The sequence below is a fragment of the Homo sapiens genome, chromosome 1 (genome assembly GCF_000001405.40).
Source record: "Homo sapiens chromosome 1, GRCh38.p14 Primary Assembly".
In the NCBI taxonomy this organism is placed as follows: domain Eukaryota; kingdom Metazoa; phylum Chordata; class Mammalia; order Primates; family Hominidae; genus Homo; species Homo sapiens.
The window spans coordinates 229,857,990-229,867,421 of record NC_000001.11 but is presented as its reverse complement, the minus strand read 5'-3'; the positions used below and the strand labels follow the sequence as shown (position 1 = coordinate 229,867,421).

General features: G+C 48.5%; 1 long non-coding RNA gene across 1 annotated transcript in view; it reads left to right on the top strand.

Moving 5' to 3' along the window:
* Nucleotides 1-459: 459 nt before the first annotated feature.
* Nucleotides 460-9,432, top strand: part of LOC105373162 (uncharacterized) — a 31,087-nt gene continuing 22,114 nt past the window's right edge. The window contains exon 1 of the long non-coding RNA XR_001737830.1: nucleotides 460-663. This is a non-coding gene — a long non-coding RNA (uncharacterized LOC105373162). The remainder of the gene's footprint in view (nucleotides 664-9,432) is intronic.

Below are 9,432 nucleotides of genomic sequence, written 5' to 3'. Positions count from 1 at the left end.
ATTCACATTTCATTAAATTGATTCAGATTGAATCTAAATGAGGGTTAAATATAATTTTCTGAATGCTACCAACCTATAATTCCTGTGTCTAAATAAAAATAACCAACAGTTTAAAATGAGGTGATGGGTGAGATTTCATTTGGTGGTTTGAAGCCCTCTGAATTTGCTACAGATAATCAGATTTGCCACAGAAAGTATTTGTATGCTTTCTTTACTTGTGCTTAATATTGGCCCACTTTTTTTTTTTTCTTTGAGACAGGGTCTTGCCCAGGCTGGAGTGCAGTGGCACAAAGCTCACTGCAGCCTTGAACCTGTGGGCAAGTGATCCTTCTGCCTCAGCCTCCCAAGTAGCTGGGACTACAGGAATGCAACACCACAACCGGCCTTTTTTTTTTCATTTATAGGGATGGGTCTCAGCGTGTTGCCCAGGCTGGCCTCAAACTCCTAGCCTCAAATGATCCGCCCACCTCAGCCTCCTAAAATGCTGAGATTACAGGCATGAGCCACCCTGCCCAGCCTGGCCTGGTTCTTTTACAAAACATTCTAGATGTTTATGACTCACGTGTCTTTGGTACAAAAGAGGGGTGGGGGAAACAGGGTGTGTCCGGAATTGGTGGGTTCTTGCTCTCACTGACTTCAAGAATGAAGCCGCAGACCCTCACGGTGAGTGTTAACAGCTCTTAAGGTGGCGCGTCTGGAGTCTGTCCCTTCTGATGTTCAGATGTGTTGGGAGTTTCTTCCTTCTGGTGGGTTCGTGGTCTCGCTGGCTCAGGAGTGAAGCTGCAGACCTTCACAGTGAGTGTTACAGCTCTTAAGGTAGCACGTCTGGAGTTGTTCATTCCTCCCGGTGGGCTCATGGTCTTGCTGGGCTCAGGAGTGAAGCTGCAGATCTTCGCCGTGAGTGTTACAGCTCATAAAAGCAGCGTGGACCCGAAGAGTGAGCAGTAGCAAGATTTATTGCAAAGAGCGAAAGAACAAAGCTTCCACGGTGTGGAAGGGGACCCAAGAGGGTTGCCAATGCTGGCTCCGGCAACCCGCTTTTATTCTCTTACCTGGCCCCACCCACATCCTGCTGATTGGTAGAGCCGAGTGGCCTGTTTTGTCAGGGTGCTGATTGGTGTGTTTACAATCCCTGAGCTAGATACAAAGGTTCTCCACGTCCCCATCAGATTAGTTAGATACAGAGTTTCGACACACAGGTTCTCCAAGGCCCCACCAGAGCAGCTAGATACAGAGTGTCGATTGGTGCATTCACAAACCTTGAGCTAAACACAGGGTGCTGATTGGTGTGTTTACAAACCTTGAGCTAGATACAGAGTGCCGATTGGTGTATTTACAATCCTTGAGCTAGACATAAAGGTTCTCCACGTCCTCACCAGAGCAGCTAGATACAGAGTGTCGATTGGTGCACTCACAAACCTTGAGCTAAACACAGGGTGCTGATTGGTGTATTTACAATCCCTGAGCTACATGTAAAGACTCTCCACGTCCCCACCAGACTCAGGAGCCCAGCTGGCTTCACCCAGTGGATCCCGCACCAGGGCTGCGGGTGGAGCTGCCTGCCAGTCCTGCGCCGTGCGCTCGCATTCCTCAGCCCTTGGGTGGTCGATGGGACTGGGCACCGTGGAATAGAGGGTGGTGCTCGTCGGGGAAGCTCGGGCCGCACAGGAGCCCATGGAGTGGGTGGGAGGCTCAGGCATGGCGGGCTGCAGGTCCCGAGCCCTGCCCCGTGGGAAGGCAGCTAAGGCCCGGTGAGAAATCGAGCGCAGCGCCGGCAGGCTGGCACTGCTGGGGGACCCAGTACACCCTCCGCAGCCACTGGCCCGGGTGCTAAGCCCCTCACAGCCCGGGGCCGCAGGGCCGGCCGGCCGCTCCGAGTGCGGGGCCCGCCAAGCCACCCCACCCAGAACTCCAGCTGGCCGGCAAGCGCCGCGCACAACCCCAGTTCCTGCTCGCGCCTCTCCCTCCACACCTCCCTGCAAGCTGAGGGAGCCAGCTCTGGCCTTGGCCGGCCCAGAAACGGGCTCCCACAGTGCAGCGGCGGGCCGAAGGGCTCCTCAAGTGCCGCCAAAGTGGGAACCCAGGCAGAGGAGGCGCCGAGAGCGAGCGAGGGCTGTGAGGACTGCCAGCACGCTGTCACCTCTCAAGGGGATATGGGATGAGCCAGATACCCCAAAATATCTTCCTAAACTCCACAGAAGGGAGCGAGGCAGGGCAGAGGGCACCAAGGGAGGTGCCCCGTGAGATTCTGCACAGAGGGTTCGAATGACAGGGCCTTGCTGTGAAAGTCACCGAGTGCGCTTGTTTTTGTTTGGGTGGAAATCACTCAGAATAACATGGCTCGCTGCACTCAGATGCCAGCTCTTGGGATGATATTAAATCTCCCTACTGAATACAAAGTCTCCTGTTAAAAAGCAATCAAAATAATCCTCAGGAACAGGTGGACGATAAATTAATGAGCACAATCTTTTCCTTCAAATTGAGCTGGGGAAGAAATTAATTACTGGGCAAACCGGTAACAAAGAGGGATCCCCGCCTCCTGCAGCCTTGGAGCCCTCTGTGATTTTGTTCTCCCGAAATCTAATTTCCATGAAACACTTCAGGGAAGTGTGTATCGCAGCATAAGAATTTCTTAGCAGGCGTGCTAATATGAACGCCATAATTCCCCAGTAAGGAGATCTCGCTCTGCTCGAAAGGCCTGGGACTGACAAGGATGATATTTCAGAGAGGTCTGCAGTTCGTTCCCAGACACTGTTAATAACCACCATACAGATTAAATGAGGACTGAGCTGGTGGGACTGGACCCCCGGAAGGTGGATATAAATTTTATTTATAGGATAGATATGTACAAATACATAAAATCTTTATTTTCAGTGGCATAACTTCTATATCTGCCTAGAATACAAATACACTTTCCTGGGTGATCCAGTGTCCTTTGCAGAGAGTTTCTAAGGCAGAAGCCTTAGCAATGTCACCCTTGCAGCTATTTATAGGGCCCTGGCACTTGGTGGAAGCTGACTAATGGTGGCATGCCAAATGACACCGAGAACACTGCTGCTGGCCCTAAATCATCCTCTCATGAGTCCACACTCTGTGGCCCTTCTCCCTTCCCAGGCTGGGATGCCGCTTCTGTCTGGGGTTGGGCAGACACGGCCAGGACTCAGCCCCTGTTAAGGGGAAGGAGAAGGAGAGTAATGTTTGCCTGAGCCAGGTCCTGTATTAGGCTACTTACATTAAATCCTCTGGGCCACCTGGGAGGTTGGGCAACTGGCTTCCTTGGCTTGAACACGAAGAAAACAAGACTCAGAGGTTACATTTCTTCCCTCTGGGACAGACCACTGAGACCTGGCTAATAGCAGTGGGATATTCCCGACTCGGTGGCCTTCCTTTGTCCCTTACGCTTCTCACTGCTGTTCAGTGAGTAACACTTGATTTTCTTTATCCTGCTTGACTTTCAGTGAGCAGCTGGATCTCAGCTGGGAAGGAAACCTTGGAAGTGCTCCTAGGACCAGGGCTGGAGGAGCCAGCCGGCCCTGCCCTCCCTGTGGGAGATGCTGACCTCCTCCTAACCTCCCTTTCTGTTTCCAGCCTGTAAAGTGAGGGCGTGAATGCTTAATTTCCCAGGCTGGTGTGAGGAATCGATGGGACAACTCAGTAAACGGCTGACCCCTGCCTGGCACGGAGGTAGTGACAAGCCCTGCCAGGGTGGCCCGAGTGTCCCGGTGCTGGGCCCGCCACTGCCTCTTAGATGTTCTTTCATCTTGGACGTCTGAGAGGCAGTGAAATCGCTTCATTTCTCTGAGTCTCAGTTTCCTCATCTGTGATGTGACAATCACATCCTCTCATGACTTTACGTATAAATCAGTGAAAATGGTAGGTTATTAATTTTTAATTTGAAAAACAGAAATTTTTACAAATGCAAGCCCCATTCTACAATAGTGGGCCACATGGGACTCAAAAGTGATGGGACCCACCCTTAGACCCATTAGGATGGCTATTATAATAAACAAAACAAAATAGAAAACAACAAGTGTTGGTGAGGATATGGAGAAACTGGAACCTTTGTACCCTGTTGGTGGGAATGCAAAATGGTGCAGCCATTGTGGAAAATCACATGGTGGTTTCTCAAAAAATTAAGAATAGAATTGCCATGTGAGTATATTCCACTTCGGAGGATACACCTGAAAGAATTGAAAGCAGGGTGTCAAAGAGATACTTGTGCACCCATGTTCACAGCAGCACTATTCACAATAGTGAAAGGAAGGAGTAACCTACGTGTCCACTGGTGAAAGAAGGAACAAACAATACGTGCTCCACATACAATGGAACATTATTCAGCCTTAAAAAGAAGGAGATTCTGGCTGGGCGCGGTGGCTCACGCCTGTAATCCCAGCACTTTGGGAGGCTGTGGCGGGCAGATCCCCTGAGGTCAGGAGTTCCAAATCAGCCTGGCCAACATGGCAAAACCACATCTCTACTAAAAATATAAAAATTAGCTGGGCGTGGTGGCACACACTTGTAGTCCCAGCCACTCGGGAGGCTGAGGCAGGAGAATAGCTTCAACCTGGGAGGCAGAGGTTGCAGTGAACAGAGATCATGCCATTGCACTCCAGCCTGGGCAACAGAGTGAGACTCTGTCTATAAAAAAAAAAAAAAAGAAAGAAAAAAGAAAAAGAAAAGAAGGAGATTCCTGCAACATGGGTGAAACCTCAGGACATCATGCTCGGTGAAATCAGCCAGTCACATAAGAACAAGTAACAGTATGATTTCACTTATATGAGGTACCCAGAGAGTCAAATTCATAGAGACAGAAAGTGGAATCGTGGCTGCCAGGGTTGTGGGAGGGAGAATGTGGAGTTCGTGTTTAAGGAGTACAGAGTTTCAGTTTGGGACGATGACAGAGTTCTGGAAGATGGATGTGGTGAAGGCCGTGTAACAACGAGAAAGTACTTAATGTCACTGGACTGTTAAAAAAAATGGTTAAAATGGTAAATTGGTTAAAAAAAAAGAGGAGGGTTTTTAAAATGTTTCCCTTCCCACTCTGCCTTTGCCTGCTTCTCTCAGGCAGGGCCAGCTTAGCCATGAGAAGCTGACCCCTTCGACATCGACTGTCTTGTTTTAGACAAGAAGACTCAGAGAATAAACAGGCTTTGTCCGGGCAGTTTACATCGGTGGGAGGGAAGTGAGCTCAGGGCGGGCTTGCCTGAGCTGGAGTCCCTGCCGTGGCCTTCCTCAGCAGGCCTCAGCTTTCTCCCCGTTACACTGGGGGTGATGATAATGACACATCTCAGAGGTGGTGAGGTTTGAATGAGCGAACACACAAAACGTCTCACAGCCTGTGGCATGCATAAGCAACTCAATAAGTCTTAGCTATTAGTATTTTACATGTAAAAAGAGAGAAGGAAGGAACCACTTCTATTATTCCAGCTTACATGGAAAATAAAGTGGTCTGTGCAAGCAGCTTAATGCAGCTGCTGGCAAAATTTGGTTTGCCCTTCCAAAGTCAGCCCAGAGAGTCTGCTGGGGCACTCTCTGTGTAGCTGGTGGGACCTCTATATGCACAGGAAGGTCCACTGCACCCCAGATACCCCTTTCCCAAGGGGAGCCTCTGGAGCCTGCCTTACCTGGGAGGGAAAGACAGAGGAAGAATTATCTCTTCTCCCTGCCCCGTTAGTCTCGGGAAACTTCACAGGCTTGTGACAACCTGCTCCCCTTTCACCTCCCACTCCTCCTTGCCTGCCACAGGGGAGGATGAACTGAACTCAAAAAATGACTGTTCATGGCACAAAGCCTAATGTATTACTGGGGCCATATTCATGGCACCAGCATAATGACAGCCTCAGATCTAATCACATAAATATGAACGTTGAGATTTGGACAAATCATGACCTTGTTGCTGTGTTCCATCGCTAAATCCAGAAGAAAGTGTTCTACACTATAACTATGTAGGAAGCCGGGGTAAAACACCAAAGATCATTTAAACTGAGATGAAGCTGGCAGAAGCTTCTTAATGCTGCACGCAGTTGAGAGGTAGAGACTCAAATCACCCTTTAAGAGCTGATAGTGCCTGTGTTCTAAGAAACCCACCCTACATGAACAAGTGACCATTAACCACAAGTCAGAATCTGAGAGTTGGGTCTGGGGAAGCAGGTGTGGAGGGGTGACGAAGTGGGGTTGTCACTCTGCAGCCCTTGCTGATTTGATTTAAAAAAAAAAAAGAGTTTCAAGTGTATGTTTGGGTGGAGATGAAAATGTTCCTTCACAAACAGCTGCTCCAACAAATCAGAAACCAAAGCTGGGGGCCTGGAGTGGCCCCAGCTGAGCTGATTCATCCTAGACTGCCCTGACGGTCTATATGTGGAGTTATCTAAGACAAAACAGCCGGGACGTTGGCTGATGAAGAAGTGACCATTCGGCTGGAGACAGAGTCAACGCTTTCTCTAAAGCAAGAGCACATCCCTTAATCTCCTGCTAAATACTGTAAGGAGACATCAGCATAAGATTGGGGTTGAAGGCAGAGGCCCCTAGGTTAAACTCCTGCCTCTACCATTGGCTAGTTTATAATCTTGGGCAAATTTCTTAACCCCTGGAACCTCAGTTGGCTCATCTGGAAAATGGAGATGATATCTCTTTCTTACATGATAAAATGAGATAATTTTATGAAGTATCTAGCCCGATACCCAGGCTGAATCTGTCCTGGAGAAAGACGATTCTATGGCAGGACCTGGGAGGCTGTGGCCAGCAGCTCTGTGCACCATTCCAATCTTCGCGACCCACTCTTCCTCCAGCCGCTACTGTGCAAGCTTCAACCGGCTTCCAGCAGGTGTAAATAGGTGGCCCACATGGCCTATCTTGCCCAGGGCTGCTTTGAGGTGAGAAGTGGAGTGACCCAGGGAACCTCCTCTACACACACACACATACACACACACACACACACACACACACACACACACACAGAGAGAAGCACAGGGCGTTGCAACCCCTGGTCAGTGTCAGCCTCCCGTGGGAACGCAGCCTCAGCTGCCCATAGCTGTGGCATATGGAGACTGTGTCCCCGTGTGGCTTTCTCTCCTTCTCTTCTTCCCAGTCAGGCCCCCTCTCTGGCTCTGCTCCCTGGGATCACAGCTTGTACTGTGATAAGATTTAGTCCCAGGCTCTGCTTTCCAGGTGCCAGGCTGAGACATGGGATGAGTGGGGCAAGGGGAAACATTCCCCTTCTTTTGGCGTTCCATGGCTGCTACTAGACTTGGAAGGGCTCCAGCATGCTGGGACCCTCTAGGTGATGAAGGGAGGCTGCTCCTTAACCCTTGGAGGCCCTCAGAGCTTGGCAGGGCAGGGAAGAGAAGTCTCTGGTGGTTGCCATGCCTAGAAGCTCTTCATTCACCCCTAATATCCTGCTAAGTATTGTAAGGAGGCATCAGGGGAAGATTGAGGTTGAGGGCAGACGACCCTGGGTTAAAATCCTGCCTCTACCATTGGCTAGTTTATAACCTGGGGCAAATTTCTTAACCACCAGAAGCTTGGTGGGCTCATCTGGAAAACGGAGGTGATGTTCCTTTATTACAAGATAAAATGAGATAATTTTATGAAATATCTAGCCTGATACCGAGGAACTGCTTAAGAAGTGGTTATTGTTATGGCATTCTCTTTGACCTTGGCTTGTCTGTGTTACAGAGACTTAGTGAGTGACTATTAGATGTTGATGCTTCCTTTATTCTAGAAAATAACCTAAACAAGTAAGGCTCCAACACCATTGTTCTTGGAGAAAGCTGTAAAGTAACCATTGATCTAAAGAAAGATATTTTAGACTCAGAAACCAAGTAAGTTGTTTTGCTTTTATCTTTGCAATACAAATGGTTGGGCTTGGTGAAGTCAGAGCTCTTTTCTGTATAGTTCTGTCTTGGGCCTGTGTGGTCAGGGGAGGACAGCACAGGGGAGATATGTGGACGAGAAGGTGCCGCAGGAAAGAGCGAGAAGCACAGCAAACAGAAAAGGCAGCAGGAGATAGCCTGGAGCTTGGGGACAGTACCACTGCCACTGAGGACACCCATGAGGCACTAAGGGCTGGAGGAAGATGAAAGGGAGTGCTGGGCCTGATCTCCCTTAAAATTGTGTCCATGTACACGTGACATCATCGTTTGTCACCAGTAACACAAGTCTGAGGATTAATTCACCATCAGTGGCCAATGCAGCAAAGGGCCTGGGTGGCTGGACACCCCCAGGCTGGCTACATAAGAATTCCTCAAACAAGGCCTGCTTCTGACAGCCACACGCAGATGAAAGAGGCACCAGATGCGGAGGAAGGGCCTGCTGCGGGTGACATTTCAAAAACAAGGATACTTTTGATATTTCAGACTTTAAAACAAAGACCTTTCTACAGTGTTTATTTTTGTTATAAATCGAATGTGTACTCACGTTAGAGATGAGAAAAGTATCTGAGGACAGAAAGACCCCCTGCTCTCTCGCTTTCTAGATACGACGTCTTCATAGCTCCTTCCCATTCATCTCCTTCATGCACATTGAAACTCTTTTTGAGGAGATTGGGATCGTCTTATATAAAGAGATTTTTATGATGGGCTTTTTTATTTATTATTATTATACTTTAAGTTCTGAGATACATGTGCAGAATGTGCCGTGGTGGTTTGCTGCACCCTATGATGGCTTTTGTTTAAAGACAGTTTTTGCCCTGTTGCCCAGGCCGGAGAGCAGGGGTGTGATCATAACTCCCTGTAATCTTGAATTCCTGGGCTCAAGCAGTCCTCTCACCTCAGCCTCCCAAGTAGATGGGACTACAGGTGCGCACTGGCTAATTTTTCTAATTTTTTTTTTTAGAGACAGGGTCTCACTATGTTGCCCCAGCTCATCTCAAACTCTTGGGCTCAAGAGATCCTCCTACCTCAGCCTCCCAAAGTGCTGGAATTATAGGTGTGAGCCACCACGTCCATCTGATGGGCTTTTTAAGAGCGAATATTTCTGTTTTTACTAAAAATTCTCTTTTTTTAAGTTTTAATGGCTATATGTCATTCTGCTTTACGGCTCAGCATCCATTTTTAAAATAATCCCCTATTGTGGACCATTTTGGCTTTTTCCAATTTTTGTAATAATTAACACTCCAATGACTACTAAATTCTTTACCTTCATCTCTGGTTGTTCCCTTAGAATAGCTTCCTTGAAGTAGAATTGCTGGGACAGGTACATAAATATGGTAAAGCCTCCTACCTCAAACTATCAGACTGCTGTCCCGGGGGGGACTTCATCCATTTTATGCCCACCATCTCTGCTATCACTTATGTTACCTTGTGTCAAAATTAATATGCTATGAGTTGTTTGATAGGGGTGGGGACAACTTTTATTGCCTTGCCGGTGGGCTTAGGACTGTCTGAGTAAGATTCCATTAAGGGCTAAGCTAAATGAACTCAAAATGCCTACCCT